The sequence below is a fragment of the Homo sapiens genome, chromosome X, assembly GCF_000001405.40.
Source record: "Homo sapiens chromosome X, GRCh38.p14 Primary Assembly".
Taxonomy (NCBI): domain Eukaryota; kingdom Metazoa; phylum Chordata; class Mammalia; order Primates; family Hominidae; genus Homo; species Homo sapiens.
The window spans coordinates 17,532,103-17,551,060 of NC_000023.11; the positions used below are offsets into that span (position 1 = coordinate 17,532,103).

The 18,958-nt window shown below is 46.1% G+C and overlaps 1 protein-coding gene and 1 long non-coding RNA gene across 3 annotated transcripts in view, besides 4 other annotated features; both read left to right on the forward strand.

Moving 5' to 3' along the window:
- NHS (NHS actin remodeling regulator) overlaps window positions 1–18,958 on the forward strand; it is a 360,795-nt gene that overhangs the window by 156,903 nt on the left and 184,934 nt on the right. The gene's annotated exons all lie outside the window — the stretch shown is intronic.
- The window catches only part of LOC101928389 (uncharacterized), a 58,726-nt gene that overhangs the window by 3,668 nt on the left and 36,100 nt on the right, over window positions 1–18,958 (forward strand). The gene's annotated exons all lie outside the window — the stretch shown is intronic.
- Window positions 15,430–15,946: an enhancer, noted in NCBI's record as "H3K27ac-H3K4me1 hESC enhancer chrX:17565654-17566169 (GRCh37/hg19 assembly coordinates)". NCBI's record gives its function as "activates a minimal SCP1, AML or CMV promoter by ChIP-STARR-seq in primed H9 embryonic stem cells {active_cell/tissue: H9 hESC(primed)}" and the evidence as "EXISTENCE:reporter gene assay evidence [ECO:0000049][PMID:30033119]".
- Window positions 15,828–15,937: an enhancer, noted in NCBI's record as "active region_29458". NCBI's record gives its function as "activates an Ori minimal core promoter by ATAC-STARR-seq in GM12878 lymphoblastoid cells {active_cell/tissue: GM12878}" and the evidence as "EXISTENCE:reporter gene assay evidence [ECO:0000049][PMID:35858748]".
- Window positions 15,947–16,461: an enhancer, noted in NCBI's record as "H3K27ac-H3K4me1 hESC enhancer chrX:17566170-17566684 (GRCh37/hg19 assembly coordinates)". NCBI's record gives its function as "activates a minimal SCP1, AML or CMV promoter by ChIP-STARR-seq in primed H9 embryonic stem cells {active_cell/tissue: H9 hESC(primed)}" and the evidence as "EXISTENCE:reporter gene assay evidence [ECO:0000049][PMID:30033119]".
- Window positions 16,977–17,490: an enhancer, noted in NCBI's record as "NANOG-H3K4me1 hESC enhancer chrX:17567200-17567713 (GRCh37/hg19 assembly coordinates)". NCBI's record gives its function as "activates a minimal SCP1, AML or CMV promoter by ChIP-STARR-seq in naive H9 embryonic stem cells {active_cell/tissue: H9 hESC(naive)}" and the evidence as "EXISTENCE:reporter gene assay evidence [ECO:0000049][PMID:30033119]".

An 18,958-nucleotide genomic window follows, 5' to 3' on the forward strand; every position in this document is an offset into this window, starting at 1 on the left:
TGCAGTGGTTCACACCCCACATAGACTCCTAAAATATGACACTGGAAAATGAAAACTTTTTAAAATTGTTTTAAATATATAAGAATTCAGCTCTGAATGTCTAGATAATTGGTAGCATGAATTGGCCCTCGAGGTCAGGAAGACTTCTTTGCTCTGGTTTTAATTAGTGCAAAGCGGAAGCCATTTCTATGTAAATGAATCAATCCATCGAGGCACACTTCTTTAGCCCTGATTATATGCCAGGCACTGGACCGGAGCCCCAGGAAACAAAGATGAATGATATAGTCCCTGCCCTTGAAGGGAGGAAAAGCAGATGGCTGGTCCCTGGAGACCTTCCTAGCAGTAAAGAATTCAGTAACAGTATGGACGATGGCACCAGAAGTGTGCCTTGAGTTTCGTATCAACCTCAGTGCTCCCCTCACTGTGCATTTGAAGGCTTCCTCCTTTACAAAGACAAGAGCAAATTCAGAGAGCCTGAGACGTCACCATGAGATATGGTCTATAGAATGTCTCCCAGGAAGGGATGAGATCTTGGCCCTTCAGTGAAAATGCCAACATTATTGGAAGAAAGCCCAGACCAAGGCAGGGGCTAGGGCTGGGGTTCTGGAGTAAACTAACTGGCATATAATCAGGGCTAAAGAAGTGTGCCTCGATGGATTGATTCATTTACATAGAAATGGCTTCCGCTTTGCACTAACCTGGGTTCAAACCCTGGCCCGGCCACTTACTGGTGGGCAACTTGGGCCCTTTTCTTAACTTATCTGAGCCTTAGTTTCTCATCTATGAAATGGGTATAATAGCTTCTACCAGTAGAGCCATGGGGAGGAATAAATAAAATCCTGAGTGTGAGGCATTCAGCACAATGCCTGTAGTATAGAGATGCTGAATCTATTGTTATGATGAGTATTAGCTCTGCAGAGCAGGGCCTACCAAAGACCTACGTGGATTTTTCTATAATGAACAACAACCATCACCAGAAAAGGCCAGTAAGTTGCTGGCAAGTGTCTGCCCCGCCCACCACACAGGAGTGTGGGGGCAGCAAAGACATGGGAGAGGGCCAAAGCTCTTAGAGAAGTGAAAGTCATTGGCATGGCTCTATATGGAATCGTCTCCAGTGTGTGAGTCTGTGTGCTTAAGTCCTTTACAGATTTTTCGGCAACCTTTTTTTGTAAGGTTGCTCGTTGATTTTTATTTTTTTGAGTGAGACAGGGTTTTGCTCTGTCACCCAGGCTGGAGTGCGATGACACGATCATGGCTCACTGTAGCCTCGACCTCCCAGGCTCAAGTGATCCTCCTGCCTCAGCCTCCCAAGTAGCTGGGATTACAGGCATGCACCACCACGCCTGGCTAATTTTTGTATTTTTTCTATAGAGACAGGGTCTCTGTATGTTACCCAGGTCTTGAACTCCGGAGCTCAAGCAGTCCACCTGCCTCTGCTTCTCAAAGTGCTGGGATTACAGGTGTGAACCACTGGCCCTGGCCTTGTTGACTTTTAAAATTATGACTTTTAAAGCAATCAGGGAATAATCACTTTCAAGTACTGAGCACAAAGTGATGACTCCTGCTAGGAAGATGGACAGGGCTGGGGTCATAGGCATGGTCTTGGGTCTTGGAGAACTGAGTTTGCTTCCTGACACAGCCCTTTGGGTCCCATGACCTTGGGCAGCCCCCACAGCCTCTCTAAGTCTTGCTTTCATGGCCTGCACTATGAGGTTAATAGTAATGCCTATTCTGAGGGCTGTTTTGAAGATTACATGACATAAATACAGAAATGTCTAACACTATGTCCAATAAATTGTTGTTTCTCTTCTCTTGCCATTAATATGCACTTTTCTTGAGCAAAAGTCTTGTCAGCACTTAACAGAATTAATTACAAAACCTAATTAAGGGAGTCTATAAGTGTGATATTTTACTGTTTTCTCCCTTTTGATGATGAGTTCTCTAACCTACTGAGAGGAAGAAAGCCTTCTTCGGACTGTTGCCTGAAAGGTCATTGTGTGTGTGTGTGTGTGTGTGTGTGCATACACACGTGTGTCTACTCTCACATTAACACACTTTGCCCAGGATGCATTCATGATGCCCTGGCAGCCAGTGGGTCTTTGGAAGGAATTCATAGGATTGAGACTATGAGTTGATTTCATGAGCAGAAAATTGTATATTTTGATGAGAGAACATTAGAGAATGCCTCCTGAAGAAGAAGGTCACAAGGAGGCCAGTGTGGTTAGCGATGCCTGGGACATTGATTTTGGGAAGTAATGCCATGTTTTTCTTCCCCCAGGCCTATAGCTACCTTTGCTTAGCCAGCACACGCCCTCATGTTGGAGACCTAGGTGGCTCTTGGTGGATTTTTGTGTTGCTGTAGCTTTCCTGTTTTGAAAGTTAGGGACAAGAGCTCAGAAAGCAGCAATGTCTTCAAAGAGAGAAGTTAAAATTCTAGTTATGACTCTAATGACTCTAGTGGCCCCATAAATGGCAACTCCCCAGGGTCTATGGCTTCATGAGAGACCCTTGGCCAAATCCACTGTGGGGTTCCAAAATTTAATTGTATGGACTCTTCCAAGCATAAAGGCAAGTTTATAAAAAATCATTTCCAACAATTTCCACAGGCCCTGGTTGTTTGATTCAGGAACTGAATAAGTGCCCAGATTCATGTTCAATGTTTGTCCTTGCTTTTCTAGCAGATGCTATTGGTGCCCACCCACAAGTTCTTGGCATCTGGTGTCCCAGTGCACACCTGGAGAGTGTCCTACTCCAAGTGTCTGCAGTTCTCTTCCTGAGGGCTTTCTGTCAGCCTTCGAGCAGGGCAGGCCCAGAGTGCCTGGGGATTAATGTTCCTGAACAGCCTTCAGTCAATGAAAGATGAGAGCTGGAGAATCAATACCCTAGCTTCCTCACTTCTCAGGTGGGCCAGCTCTGAGCTGTGTACTACAGTGTCTCCCAGAGTCTCCAAACAAGATTGAACCTCAGTTGCCTGTGGCAGAAACCTGTTTCATAACCTACCTTTATAGCTTCCTTCCCTTCCCCGTCTCACTTACCCCCTCTCCCACTATGTTTCCTGAAAGCATCTCCCAAACATATCCCACCATTTCCTCTGACCTTGGGGATTTCTTGAGATTTTGTCCCTCTTCTATAAAATGATGGTCACAGGTTGCTTCTGCTGGGGTGTGATAGGTGGATCAGGTGGAACAATGATTTGTTGCATGGGATGAACTGAGCATTCCAGGTCATCTAGAATCTCTGTGCCTACTAGAAGCAGTAAGGAAGGCCCTCTCCTAGTCACAACCAAAAGCACCCCCAACACTGCCATATACCTGTAGGGGGCAGCACCATCCCTAGTCAAACACCGCTAACAGATATTTCTCGTCTGCTCTAGTTTTGACATCCTAAGGTGAGTTGATTGATCAAGAACCTCAGACTGGGATAGCGCCCACCATGGTATATTTCAGTCTGGGGAGTGGTGAGGAGTGGCCGAATGCTAACTTTTTCTTTTAGAGACAGGGTCTTGCTCTGTCACCCAGGCTGGAATGCAGCAGTGTGATCACAGGTCCTCACTGCAACCTTGGACTCCTGGGCTCAAACAATCATTTTGCCTCAGCCCCCCAAGTAGCTGGGACCACGGGTGCCCACCACCACACTCGGCTATTTTTTAAAAAGCTTTTTGTAGATATGGGATCTTGCTACATTGCCCAGGCTGTTCTTGAACTCCTGGGCTCAAGTGATCCTCCCATCTTGGCTTCCCAAAGTGCTGGGATTACAGGTATGAGCCACTGCACCCAGCTGGTAACTCTTGAATAGATTCTGTATTGTCAGAAATAACCACTGACTTGCCTCCTTCCTGAAATGTCGAAGAAGGGAACATTTAACTCATTCCCTCTGCTTCCCTAAACTCCTTGGCCAAGTTCCCCCTTCATTCATTTGACAGGTCTTCCCTGTGTCTGTAGCTGGTGATGAACTTTAAAAACTTGCATTTGGGCTGGGCGCAGTGGCTCACGCCTGTAATCCCAGCACTTTGGGAGGACAAGGCAGGCGGATCATGAGGTCAGGAGATCAAGACCATCCTGGCTAACACAGTGAAACCCCGTCTCTGCTAAAAATGCAAAAAATTAGCCAGGCGTGGTGGCGGGTGCCTGTAGTCCCAGCTACTCAGGAGGCTGAGGCAGGAGAATGGTGGGAACCTGGGAGGCGGAGCTTGCAGTGAGCCGAGATCGCGCCACTGCACTCCAGCCTGGGCAACAGAGCGAGACTCCGTCTCAAAAAAACAAACAAACAAAAAACAAACAAACAAACAAAAAACTTGCATTCGGACCTATGTGTGTTCCAAAAGCACTGGCTCTTTCTTACAGCCAGCTCATCCCTGGGCAATAACATCTCCAGCTGTCTCTACCTAGTCAGAGATCCATGTGTAGAGTATAGAGGGAAGGAAAAAGTACTGGAAGGGTTGCTCCTTCTGAGTCAGAGTCAGATTTGTGATTTATTGATTTATTCCTGAACCATTTGTTGTTCTGCTAGTGGGGTGGTTTGGGATTTTCTCTTTCTTACAGAAAAGTTAGAGGAACCCAATAAATTGCTTCTTTTTCTTTAAGAAAATCTAAAAGTATATTCTTGTGTGGGCAAGATAGGTCTCACTTATGCCACACACCTAACCACTGTCTGACACGTAGGAAACTTTCTATAAATGGGTACTGTGTTGACTAATCAACAAGTTGTTCTTGTTCGTTGCATGAAACCTTTGAGAATGTTTCTTTGCAAAGCCTCTTTTTTTCCATTCTAAGACGGTATTTGAAGACCATGCTACCAGGCTTTTATGGTGTATGGTGAGTTGAATTTTTCCAGGAAGGAAACTTTTGGGGAATTCTAATCTTGATTTTCTATAAAGTGATTGAACTGTGGAGATAAATTGAAATATGAGTCATGAAATGTATTGAAATAGCAGCAAAGTCTTGCCAGATGGAAAGCAAAGCAAAGACTCTTGTCATGTCCAAGCAAGACAAAGACCAATTTACAAAAAAAGGATAAGTGGGGCATCTTCCTTCCATCTGTCCCATCTCGGGCACGTATATGGCACCAAACTTGAAGTGAAGTTTCTGGTAGATGTTTTGCCTGTTCTGTTAGGTTTTGGAATCAGCAAAACTGACCAGCTAAGTTCGATCAAAAGCACCATTAGGAGATGAGAGCTTTATCTTTAAATGTGATCCAAGCATAATGAACAATGAAATTCCTGTGATTAAAGGTTTAAACTGGAGCAAATCTACACCTAGAAGAAGACAGAATCTCTTTGGATGAGGAGGAGAAAGCAAAGTGAATTGGAAGTAAATTATGTAGCTGAAAAACTTCCAGTAATATGCTTCCTAGCCTGCCCCAGGCAGAGATAAGGACAGGGTCCTGCCTGGTGCTATCCTGAGCTAACTTCTCAAAAATCAGACACTTTGGAGGTGAATTTCTGTAAAAGGACAAAGTTGAACTTCAAAAAAGAAAAGTATCAGGTCCCCCCAAAATGGAGGTGGCCTGTTGGCTCAGCAGAGTGGCTAAGTCAAGTAGGAAATGTGGTGTCTGGCCTAGCAGTGACAGGAGACTATGTTGCATTAGGGGTTAGACAAAGGTCAGCAAAGCCAAAGGGTTTAAAAGAGGCGGGAGTGGGGACTGTCCTGCTCAGCTTCCTGACCCGCCAGGCTGATGTCAGAGGGTTTATTCAGATTTGAGGGCTTTTGTTTGGGGGGATTGGAGTGATTCCTAAGAGACAATGCCCGACTGGAGGCTGGGGGCACGCGACGCCTGAATTGAATTTGGGCAGTTGCTGAGCAGATGGGGATCAGAGGGGAAAACAAAAGGGAAGCTGTTCCCAGCACATCCACAGGAAGGGAGAATTGCAGAGCCAGCCACGGGCAGGAGGGCTTCCTGCTCAGCCTGGCTGTGGAGGCCTCCAGTGCCCCCATCTTGCGGAAGGCCAAGCATTCCCAGGGCTAGTGGGACTTTGGCTCTTTCGCAGAGAGGAGAGAGGGTGGAATTGGAGGCAGGTCAGGAGCATGAACTTCTTGAGTTCAGATTTCAGGTTTGTGCATTTCCTCATCTGCAGGCTGGCAAGGTTCCTGGACTCATATAGTCTCACACCCTCATTTTCAGGTGCGGGAGCTGAGACCTGTAAAAGTGCACTGCCTTTCCTGGACTCTGTCAGTGTCTTAGGTTGGCTTCCTCTAAAAGCAGACATGACATGAGGAATGGAGCAAATGCTCTTTGCTCAGGGGGGTCCTGGAAGCAGTGGTTAGGGCCTGGAGAGGTAACACAGGGACGAGAAGGAAGCTGACATAGGTGCACTAAAGAGTAGGCTCCCAGCGTGGGCAATTGGGGCTTCGTCCTGTTGGGGACCTCTGGGAAACTAAGCAGAACACACGTCAGAGTTTCCTGCCTAGGAGGTGAGGAAGCTGGGGTGTTCTTCATAATTCCTGCCCTTTGCTGATTGCTCCCAGAGATGTTGAGTCCTGGCACTTCTGTGCTCCAGTGACCAGAGAAAGCCCTCAGGGAGAGGGTCATAGGTGTACGGAGCAAGAAGCCATGAACACGTGCAAAGTGGGAAGGGGCTTCACCGGATAGATTTCTGGTCATGCTCTCATCAATTTCCTTAGCTTGTGGGGAAGCCAACCTTTCTGAGGCCAGGAAAGCATTTCTCTGGGTGCCCAATGTTGCACAGACAGATCAAAACCGCTTTTCTTTGCTCTTAAGTGGGGCGTACACTTCTCTTCTTCCTGGGAGCGCATTAGATGTCCAGGTTGGATGTACAGTGACTCTCCCTCTCTCCTGCTTCCCTGTCTAGCCACTGCCCTTGTCTTTCTGCCTCCCTTTCAGCCAGGCTTTTTGGCTTTCCATTTTATTTCCAGTAAAAGCCAGAGTCCCAAGCACCTACAGGAGTCTACATGATGGGCACATGCCCTCTACCCACATGCGTCTCTCATGACACCTCTACCATTTTTCCTCTTTCTCACTGCATCCCCACTGCATTGCCCCCTTGTTGCTTCTTAAGCCTACCATATATGCAGGGTCTTCCTTCAAGGCCTTTGCCCTTGCTGTTCCCTCTGCCTGGAATGCTTTCCCCTGAAAGCATGGCTCTGGCTCTTTCCTCTTTAGGAGAGAGTCATATCTTGCCTTATTGGTTAGTGAGGCCCTTCCCAACTACCCCATTTAAAACAGCACACAACCACTCCCTTTCTCTGTCCTCCTTCCCTGCTTGATGGTTCTCCACAGTCCTTAATGCTCTGCGACATAGCATATAATTGGTTTATTTAACTTTACACCATGTATCTGCTTCTCTGCTTGGCCTTTCTTGAATATAAGCTTCATGGGGTCAGAGACCTGTGTCTGGTTCACTGCTGTATCTCCAGTGCCTAGAATTGTGCCTGGCACATAGTAGATGCTAAACAAAATTATCGAATGAATGATCAGTGGCAATTAGAACATGTTTTCTCTTTTTCCTCCCTTCTCTAGCTCCTAGCACATGTCTGGGACCTTTCTGCCCTAAAATTGAAGCATCCCCAGGGAAGTTTCTCCTTGTGCAGTAGACAGAACAGAGGCTTTGGACCCTAGCAGACCTTGGTTGGAACCCCTAGGTTCAAAATCCAGCTCCTCCAAAATTCTAAACATTACCAGCTCACCAATATCCAGCTCTCCCCTCCTTTGGGCACATGGAATCTTACACTCCTCAGTGCTCTTTAATGGGGCAGGGTCACATGACTAGTTCTGGCCAGTGGGCTTTCAGTATAGAAGAGCAGGTGTGAGGTTTCTGTTTGCTCTTGTCACCTGCCTCAGCAAACCCTGAAGCCACATGTGGAGATGGTGGAGCCTGTGTCAGCCTGGATCCCTGAGTAATCATGTGGAACAGAGGCTTCCACTATCCTGCTTTGGACATGTGATGTGAACAAAAAGCAAACCTTTAATATTGGAGTTATTTGTTGCTACAGCATAACCTAGCCTATTCTAACCAATAGAATTAAGTACTAGTGGTGTTGCTATGGGAAAGTCATTTCACTCTGAGCCCATACTTTCTCATTCGTTAATAATCTTTGTACCATAGGGCAGATGTTCAACATGGTATGTTGAACACACTCATACTTTAACTTATGACTTCCACAGTAACCCTAGGGAGGAGTTGCTGAGGACTCCATCTCTCTTACAGATGCAATATCTCAGCCAGGTAGACATAGCATTATGCCTTTACATTCAGAAAAGGAAGCAAATTCTGTGACATGGGACTATCAGGGGGTTTCTTGGTGCATTTGGGCCTTGACCTGGGTTCTTTAGAATGGCAAATTTTGCCACCAGGAAAAGGCAGAAGAGATTGTGAGTGATAAAAGCTAAAGCAGTCTGGGCCAGAAGAGCTACATATGAGTTCTGTGTCTATACAGCATGTGACTTTGTTATTTGAGAAAGTAGAATGTCAGGTTGAGGGAGAGAAAAACAGATCAGGCCAAAACTACTAGGCATCTGATTTGGGTGGTGGAGAGAGGGTGGGCAGAAGAGAACAGAAATGATGAAATCTGGATCCTAGTTCTTGATAAACCGTCAACCCTCTGAAGAACTTGGGAAAATTAATTTCACTTATCTGAACTCTGGTTAGGGCAAAACACAAGTCATTTCCCAAGAGTCTTTAAATAATGAGCATCATCACAATTGTAAGGGCTCACACTGATTGAATGTTTATTGTGTGGGCTGGGCACGGTGGCTTATGCCTGTAATCCCTGCACTTTGGGAGGCCAAGACGGGTGGATCACTTGAGCCTAGGAGTTCAAGACCAGCCTGGGCAACATGGCGAGACTCCGTCTCTACAAAAAATTAGCTGGGCATGGTGGTGTGTGCCTGTAGTCTCAGCTACTTGGGAGGCTGAGGCGGGAGGATTGCTTGAATCTGAGAGGCAGAGGTTTCAATGAGCCAAGATTGCACCAATGTACTCCAACCTGGGTGATGGAGTCAGATCCTGTCTAAAAAGTAAATTAAAAAAAAAATTTATTATGTACTCCTTGCCTTGCCTTTAGTGGATTACTTGAATCAACCCATGTGACTTTCTCCACAATGCCATGTGATAGACACTGCCATTGTTCTCATTTCACAGATGAGGAAACCAAGGCACAAAGAGGTTAAGAGACTTGCCTGGAGTTAAGTAGCAGAGTTGAGAGTCAAACTCAGATAGTCTGACTTCAGAGCCAGGTTTGAATGTGACTGGTTCCTGCACAAGGCTTTTCTATGAGATGCGTAAAATGCTTTAGTGGACAAATCTTTCCATTTTTCCCTCTGGAGGGGGTTTAAGTGGTATTTGTCTTCCTTCTACCTCACAGGGTGATTGTGAAGGTGAACAGCTTAGTAACATACTGGGAGTGGGAGTGGTGATACAGCCCACTCTGCAATGCAGGGTGTGTGGTTAAACCTGTAAATTGAATGTTGATAATGATAATGATTTTTACTTTACAGATAACATTTATCACATGTTAATAAAATATAAAGTAAGATGCACGTAAGTAAAGAATGTAGTTACTCTGTCCAGACCCTCTGGAATTTTTTAAGGGTCTTTCCCCCACTTCAGCTTTGATGGGCTTTCAGCGGCCAGCCCTGCAGCTCATCTTTGGACTATTGGACCTGCATTGATCCCAGGATGAAAGAGCCCAAGGTATCTGAGTTTGCGAACACACACACACACACACACACACACACACACACACACACACACACACTTTAGCCAAAGACTGATGGGTACAAGAGCCCAGCTGCCTTACCTCAAATTGAGACAACTTTGAGGTGTAAACTCACACTCTAGAGTTCCCTGTGCGACCTCAGTGGAACTTTGCTGGAGACCTTCGCCTTGCTTAGCTCTTGCCCTTCTCTCTTGGGAGCATCTCTTATCCAATAGCTTGTAATCCCAATTTCCTTGGGAAACAATGAGAAGAGAAAACATTGAAAAACAAACCAGTAGGGACATCTAAAGCTTCAAAAGAGGCATGGCAAGGAGGGCTTGATCTTCTTGGTTTGACAAGTCATTGTTTGCTGATTGCTTGACATCCATTACAGAGCCAGGCCTGCCACAAGCCATCTCTGCCCTACCTCCCTGCCAACATTGTCCTGCAAGACGGCCAGGGCCTTTTGAAGCAGCCTGTGGAGAGCCTGCCAGGGTTCTGTGTACTTGCATGCCTGCTCTCCGGTTGCAGAGGAGCAGTTTTTACATTTCTGCCACTTGCCTGACCTGCTGCGGCAAAGCAGCCCACTGGGGAAACTTGGCATCACTGCCTGGCACTGGTGCTTATTCCTTCCTGGCATTGGCCCATGCCAGCAGGAACAAGGACAGTGCCAAGCATGCCACCATGGTTGTGCCAACCAGTTCCACTGCAGCAGTGCCCTGAGGATGCTTGAACCTGCCTGGCTGTCATTACAACTAATGCCAAAGACATTGAAGGGGGTTGGCCATTTCCTTGCAATTTTCTTTCTCCAAGCAATTGTGGCTTGCTGGGTCAGCTTCAGAAGCATTTATTATTCACATGTCTGAATCCAGAGAAGGTAGAGCTTCTACAAAGTGACACAAAGGGAACTTTTCCTTATGGAAGTCCTGAATCCAGAGAGAGAGAGAGAGAGAGAGAGAAATGGGTGAGAAACAGACCACAGAGACAGAGAAAGTTGAGGCGTGTAGTACTCAGACCTGGGTTCAACCTCAAAATCCATGACTTCTAGGCTGGATAACCTTGGGCAAGTTATATGAGCATTCTAAGCCCCAGTTGTCTCGTCTACAAAATTGGTAGAATAATTATATCCAGCTTGTAGGATTTTTATGAGGAGTAAAGGAGATATAAGTAATAACACAGTATATAACACACAGTATTTATTCAATTAATGTTAGCTGTTATGATTACTTGTATATTATTAATAATGTCCTCATATATGTTTTATCCTCTGGGGGAGGTGGTATAAACCAGTGCTTCTCAAACTTTAGTACATAATAATCATCAGGAGAGTTGGTCAAAATGCAGATTTCTGAGCCCTGCCCCCAGAGATTCTGATTCTACAGGTCTTTATTTGTAACAAATTCCCTGGTGCTACTGGTGATGTTGGCCCACGGGTCACACTTTGAGCGGCAGCATTGGTATAAGCCACAGGGCAGCATTATCCTTATCTGCAACAGATATTCTGATGCATTTGAGGGATGGATACAGTGCGTTTCGCCTTAGTTCTTGCTTTACCTGCCTGCAACTCCTATTCCATTTGGCTGCAGAATGAATGCTTAACATTGTCCTAAGCACTGATAAGATGAAAAGGCAGAAGCTAATGCCTGGAAAAACTAACATAACTAGGAAATGCTTAGAGCTTGAAGGTTGATCCCATTGCTGAACCTGACGCTACTTAGAAGTCAGAACATATTCCAGTCACAGATAAGTATGGGTTCCTCTTCCCAGGGAAGGCAGACGGAGCTGATGGAAGGAAAACATGCGCATTGTCTGCTTCTCTTGTACAGAGGTCATGCAGGGAGGAAAATAAGGGTGCTTCAGAAATACTCTGTAGGCAGTTCTTGTTTTTTTTGTTTTGTTTTTTGTTTTTGTAGTTATGAGACATGAAATCAAAGACTATTACTATCAAAATAAGAGGCTAGATGGCTCTCCATGTCCTGTCAATTTCCCCTAACATCTTCCTGTGTCAGTGCTTCTCTTCAGAGTTCGGGATTTTGCTCCCTTTTCCATGCCCCCTCCTCTTTTTCCTTTTGATACCAGGAGCTACTTCACTTAAAAGTGCCTGGATTCTAGGAGTACCTTGGTTTGGGGCCCTTCAAGGCCAAAATGAAGATAAAGAGATGGAGCTGCGGGGCATATATAAATCATGGTTTCTTTCTTATAATTTCTTTCCAGATTGTTCTAATTGCCCACAATTAGGAAATGTCACTTTTATAGTCAGAAAACCTAGATAATATTTTCTTTCAATCAAGATTGATTAAGTCTGTCCATAGCCTATAACAATAGCTAATATCTCTTAAGTGCTTTGTCTCAGCCAGGCAGACGCTATGCTAAGTATTATCATGTATAACGTCATTTAATTCTTGCTACAAATTGAATGAGATTAGAATTGTTGTCCCCATTTTATAGATAAACAAATGGAGACACGAAGAAGTGAAGTGACTTGTTCAATGTTGTAGGGCTGGAAAGCGACAGAGATAGGATTTGAATCCGACAATTTGGACTCAATTTTTAACCATGATGCTTTGTGTATAATCCCCACCATGTAAAAAATATAAGCCAGGCAAAAATTCAAGAAGGAAATGTATCAACATTTGACATTGATTTGTCTGGATGGTGCAATGGTACGACTATGGACTTTTTTCCTTCTGCTGATTTTCTGATTATTTTCTCAATGACCATATACTATTTTTCCAATAAAAATACTTTATTTATTTATTTATTTATTTTTATTTGAGATAGAGTCTCTGTCTGTTGCCCAGGCTGGAGTGCAGTGGCGCGATCTTGGCTCCCTGCAACCTCTGCCTCCCGGGTTCAAGCGAATCTCCCTGCCTCAGCCTCCTGAGTAGCTGGGATTACAGGCACCCACCACCATGCCTAGCTAATTCTTGTATTTTTAGTACAGACGGAGTTTTGCCATGTTGGCCCGGCTGGTCTTGAACTTCTGACCTCAGGTGATCCACCTGCCTCAGCCTCCCAAAGTGCTGGGATTACAGGCATGAGCCACCACACCCAGACAACACTTTATTTATTAATTGGAAAAAATCACTTAGCTCAGTCTCTTTCCTCCAAGTTCAATGTCTAAAGTCATCCCGGGCAGATGATCTTTTGTTATTCTGTGAAGAGTCCCAGCGACACTAACTCTGCAGGAGCTAGTCAGTTTGGTTAATCATTCCATAGATTTACCTATGTGAGGCCCCAGAACTGGCTGACTCCATTTTCAGGATGGAAGGACTGCTTGTAATCATGTGCTCTCCCTGCTGGGCAGGGACCTGCTGTCAGGAGGCTGTGCCCTTTGAGCTGTTCCTCCAGGTGTTGAAATGAGCTTGTGCTGATCATCCAAATTCCTGCTTAGCCACCTTCATGCCCCAAAGCCTGCATTGAAGAGTGTGATGGCCAGGGCTAGAGATCAAACTTGTGCCCTTGGCCTCTTTATTGATCTGGGGAGGCTAATTGCTGGAACAAGCAATTCCCAAATCTCAGCAGCTTAATACAATAGACATTTATTATTTGCTCGGCTAATAGTCCCATTTCAACGTTTTCTGTTTCAACATTTGGCAGGAGGTCCTCCACCTGGTCGTTCGGAAACCAGGCTCTTCCACTCTAGAGTTTTCCGTTGGATCGTCTATACCTGGCCAGTCCACAGAGGAATCTTACCGGTAGGAGATGTCTGTGGGCCAGGTTTGGAAGTGGTGTACATCACATTGGCCAGGACTCATTCACATGGGCACCCCTGACTGTAAGAGCAATTGGGAAATGTAGTCCAGCTCCTGCCTGGGGAGTCCATAGCTGTCTCTGCCATGGGCCCATTCATTTGTTCAATAAATATTTTTGGAGTGTCTGCTGTCCAGGTACTCCATACATTGGTCAGTGTCCAGGCCCATGGACATTGTTTGTGTCCTGTTTGCTGTAGGAATGAGGCATTTTGTCTGTTCTCTAGGTCAGAGCCAGATTTGGAAGGGTCCTATTCAAGTCCAAGCGGAGGTCACTGTGCCTGACTTCTAATCTTTTGGAGGAGTGCACAAGGTGCTGTTACCCCTACAAACACCATAGTTCCCATATCAGTTGGGATTCAGCCCAGAGAAGAGCAACATGCCAATTATTTTAACAGAGAATTTAGCAGAAGGCATTGGTTAAACAGATCTTAGAGGATGGAAGAGGCAGAAAGTGTAGCAGAGATGGGAACTGCAGAAAGCAGAGAACACCCTTAAGACTGGGCTGACAAAGGGAAGGGATTAAGGTTATGAGAACTTTGGAGTTAATACCCTGCAGAGCTGAGACCCAGACACCTGAGGAGGAAGTGCTGCCTGGCTAGTGCTGGTGTCTCAGAGGGGGTACAGTGAGACTGGCTCAGGGACTGCCAAAAAAAGGGACTAGATTCTGGGGCCAATTGCCACTGCCTGAATGTAGGGCTATTATTAGGGAATGCTCATGGAAACAGGAGGAAAGGGAGGCACAAGCCCCTTCTTCTTCCTCCATCCTGCCATTCTCTGTCTCATTCCCCTCCTGGCAGGGCCAAACAGGGTGCAGCTGGCAAAACAGAAATGAGGTGTGCAGAGTCCCAGCCCTAGTATCACAGGGCAGAGTATAGAAAAAGTGGGTTTGAAACTGAGAGACAATAACTTAAAAAATGGTGCGGGGGCTTTGTTTCAAGCTCACACAATTTATGTTTTGGCTACATGGTGCAACCACAGTGGAGCTTCAAGGGGTCACTCACCCAGAGAAACCTCTGAGTATGATCTATTCATTCATTCATTGGTTCACTGAGCACATAACTGAATGCCAGGCATGTGCTTGGTACTGGAGATAGAGCTATAAATAAGGCAGTTCTTGCCCACAAGGAGCTCACACCACACCTGTACACACATGGCACACACATGCACACATATATGCACGTGACATAAATGAAACAAGGAATGGAGAAGCACTGAAAGATCTGGAATTAAAGACACAGGGCTTTTTTATTCTTGGCTGCTGCCACTGAAAGATTGCGTAGAAATGAGTTTAGCTTTTCTCATTGAAGAAAAATGAGAGGAGGAGAAGGTGGCATTTAACACGTCCTTGGCATGGCATGATCATTGATTGTTCTGCTGCCTGGACTTGTTCTACTGATCAGGGGTCAGATCAAGTGGAGGTTGACCTTGACTCAACAGAATGAGAAAAGTATAAAATAAATGAGGGCAGTCAATGTATGCTGGCCTCTTGGAGGCCTCTGCTTTCCTCCCTGGGGTCCAGGAGGAGTCTGCTCCTTTTCTTTGCACCCTTCAGGCATTTGCTGCAGGGTGCCCAGAGCTAAACTTTTTCTTGCATTGGGAAGGTGGTACATTTTCCATGATTCTGTGTGAGTGGAGAAGAAGGGCCCTGCAGGTATGATTTTTTCCTTTAGTGTAACAAGTTTTCCACATGGGTGTCCTCATTTGACATTAATTGAGCACCTGCTGTGTGCCAGTCACAAACAACCAGACAGACTCTGTGGATTCAAAGCAGTGAGCAGTGGGCGCTGCTGAGCCCATCCCTACCCCTCTGATCCAGGCAAGTCACGAGTCATCTGGATACCCCCTTTTTTCGTGTATTGAGCATCATGTTGCAGGGAAGCCACATACTTTCCTTGAGCCTCTGTTTTCTCATCTGTAAAATCGGAAGTGAGATTAGATGAGCTCAGGAGTCCAGCCAGTATTCATTCAGAGCCCACTCTGTGCCATACTCTGCATGTCTCTAGGCTGTCATTATGGTGACCCATTTAACTTAGCATCTCCCATACAGTCCTGATTTTATATAGTTTAATTCCTTTCAATAAAGGGACGTTCTAAATATATAACCAAATGTGATTTAATGTTTTCTGTTTTCTTTAGACATTTTATCTGAGTTGGGAAAAATGAGGCTAAGTGTTAGAGGTGGTGGCTATGGGGAAGTAATGCAGGTGTTTCTGTTATCTCTTGCTGTAACTTAGTGACTTACAGACACATACACTTATTCTTTCTCATGATCCTGTGGGTCAGCTGGGCAGACTGCCAGGTCTGAGCTGACTCAGCAGGGCTGGAAGGTCTAGGATGGCCTCACCTCCATGGCTGGCGTCTCAGCTGCAGCAGCTGCATTGTTGGGTCCTCTCTCCATGTGGTCTTGTGCCTTCCAGGAGGCTAGTCCGGGCTTGTTCACATGGTGGTGGAAGGGCCTGCAGAAGCAAGCAGGAGAGGACAAGCCTGGAAGCACAGGTGTTTCTTCATGTCTCTGCTTGAGTCAGACTTGCTATTTTCTCATGGACCAAAGCAAGTTGCAAGACCAAGCCAGAATCAGCATAGGTGGGGAGGACCCAAGGGCCATTCTGCACACAGTTTTTGCTTGATGTAATAGATACCAGATACATTCTGGAGGCTTGTTTCCACAAGGGGGCTGGCTGGCTAGAGGGAGGCCAACTGTGAAGGTGTCAAGGACATGGAGCTTGATAAGAAAAATGGTGAGGCCATTAAGAGCCAGGAAACCAGAAGGAAGAATAGATTTGACGAATGAGTTTTTTTTTTTCCCATGCAGATTGGGGTGCAGATGGGTCTCACACCAGTGCTATCTAACAGACTGCTTGAAGTCATTCAGCACATTTTTCCTGGGCTCCATCTATGTGCCAGTTTTGTGGATCCCCAGGGAACAGAGGCTGGGGTGGGGGTAGTAACATAGTAGAATCATATGAGTTCTTGACATGGACATGATGGGAGAAAAGATGAATTTACTACAGGAGAGATTCAAGACTGCTAGAAACTAGGGCCATGCATGTATGCACATGCACCACACACACACACGCACACATTCCTGCATGCACATACACATATAGACATGCATGTGCCCATACACATGTATGCTCTCTCACACACTTGTACACACATCTTCATGTGTACATGCTTGTACATGCCACATGTGTATATGCACCACATACATGCATGATCTTCCAGACAGCCTCAGAGGACTCACAGAAGCCCATCCTAGGGGATCTATGAATTGCAGAATAAAAGCTAGGCTGCAGAGAGAGGAAAAGGAAGAGGGCTGACAACAGGCCCCTGGGGGATGGCTGCCCCCCCTTGCTTTTAAGGTGAACGTTGAATCAAGACACCACCATGCTCTGTTCTGCATAATGATTCCTGAAGTACAATTTTGTAACGTCATACTTGTCCCTTTTTTTTAAGAACGGGGTTGACACATGTCTGTTTAAATTAATTTTCCCATCTCTATGGATGCATTTGGGGGAAACAAGTTTTCCTGCTTAAAAACAAAGAGGGTGGGGGTGGAGAGACTGGAAGAAAGGGAGGGGGAGACCTATTTGAAAAGGTTTCAAGATGAGTAGGCCCCTCATTAAAAAAAAAAAAAAAAGAAAGAAAATGAAAGCTAGGCTGCACATTAGCATCAGAAAAACAGCCCTCTTCAGTGTCTGCCAGGCCAGGCCAGGGCCAGGTCCTTTAGTGGCTGTGAATAACAGGCTTTTCTGGAAACTGTGGAAGGCAACAAGCACTGTCCTTGCCTTCCTGCCTGAAGGGCTGAGTTTTTCCTTTAAGTACTACTTTGGTGCTAACTGCCCCCGTTGTTCCTGGATCTCTTGGTCCCAGACACTCAGCAAAAATGTGGCCTCATCCCACCCTCCACCCTCCCCACTACCATGAAAAAGAGACAAGCTGTCAGATGCCCCTCCCTGCAAGCCCAGGGCTCTCCTCCTGTTTCTGTTTAGAGGTTTTCAGCTGACAAGAGTGTCAGCTTCCATCCCAGCACTCAATGGCATTACAGCCAGCTTTTCACAGCAGCGGTGGGTGTGAGGATGCGCTGACCACAGAAAAGCTCGTTTCTGTTTAGCAGAAGCGTGAGGGCGCAGGGTGCCAGCTGCTGCTACAGTCTCTTACAGAAATGGGCACCATTTATTCTCCAAGAGGAAGCTCAGGATGATCTTCTCAGAGGTAGAAGGGCAGCTGATATCAGCACCAGAGAAAACAGCTGGGGGATGAGGGACCGGAGGGAGCAGGAAGAGGGATGGGGAGAAAAAGAATTGGGGAAGCCTTTAGCCCTGGAAAAGGAACAAGTGTGTTTGAGTTGGGCCACATCTTTGGTCTGGATGGGGGGACTTGAACAGGCCCCTTGGGTCAAGAAGGGATGTCTTTTAGAGACAACGAGGGATTTGGAAGAAAGATTGAATTCATTATTACTAATGGGGAGCTCAAGTTCAAATGCAGGGCATTTAAACTGCTTACTGTAGGGTCATGATTTTTCTTAAGATGGTAAAAATAAATGTAAATGAACAGGTAAGGTGTTGATTTCTTGATACCCAAAGCCTTCAAAGACACAACTCTCACCATCTTGCTTATACATACAAGCATGCGCACGTGCACACACACAGCTGGCTGGCTTTGCGAGGCAGAAAGGAATTCACGTCACAGGGCAGTCTGAGCTTGTTCCTGACCACACACTTAGCTTTTCCTTTTTGAACATCTCAAACCTTCCTTGGACTTGGCATTGCCTCTCAGAGACACATCCTGGGGAGACGAATGTTTTATTGTTTGGGTGCTTTCAAGATTCTAACTCACTAAAGATAAGGCTGGTGGATGCCTGGGTCAGCCTCTAGTGGCACTATGGTGTTGCAGCAATGAGCAGTCAAAGGCAGGATGTAGCCAAGGGTGCCTGGATTTTGCTATTGCTTAGCCATGGGGTGGCCATTGGACACCAATGTCAGGGGCTGGTCTGCTGGCCTGGGGCTGAGCCGCGCAGGTCTGGCCTGGAGTCACAGAAGTGGTCTAGTTGGATGCCCATGGGGCTCCTCTCTTTGCTCCAGCCCTGCTAGGTACCCTGAATGTCTGGAGTTTAGGAGGGAGAGGACACCCAAGCCACTGTTGCCTGTCACCTGGATTACTGAGGCAGCCTCCTAATGGTCTTCCCACTTCCCCCTCTGCCCACCTCGAATCCATTTTGCATACAACTGCTAGGATAGTCATTTTAAAAGAGGTCATATCACGTCTCTCCACTGCTCAAAACCATTCAAAGGTTGCCGACTCACTCAGGGTATGAGCCAAAGTCCTGGCTTTGGAGTGGCCCACAAGACCCTATGTGATCTGGCCCACTGTATCTGCTACCATTCACCCCATCTGCACAGCTCTATGCAGCTGCACTGGCTTCCTGCTGGCCCTAGAACACACCAAGCCCATCCAACCCAGGGTTTTCTTTCTTGCTGTTCCTCTGCCTGGAACAGTCTTTCTCCAGATATCCACGTGGCTCCCTCCCTTATGTCCTTCAGAATTCAC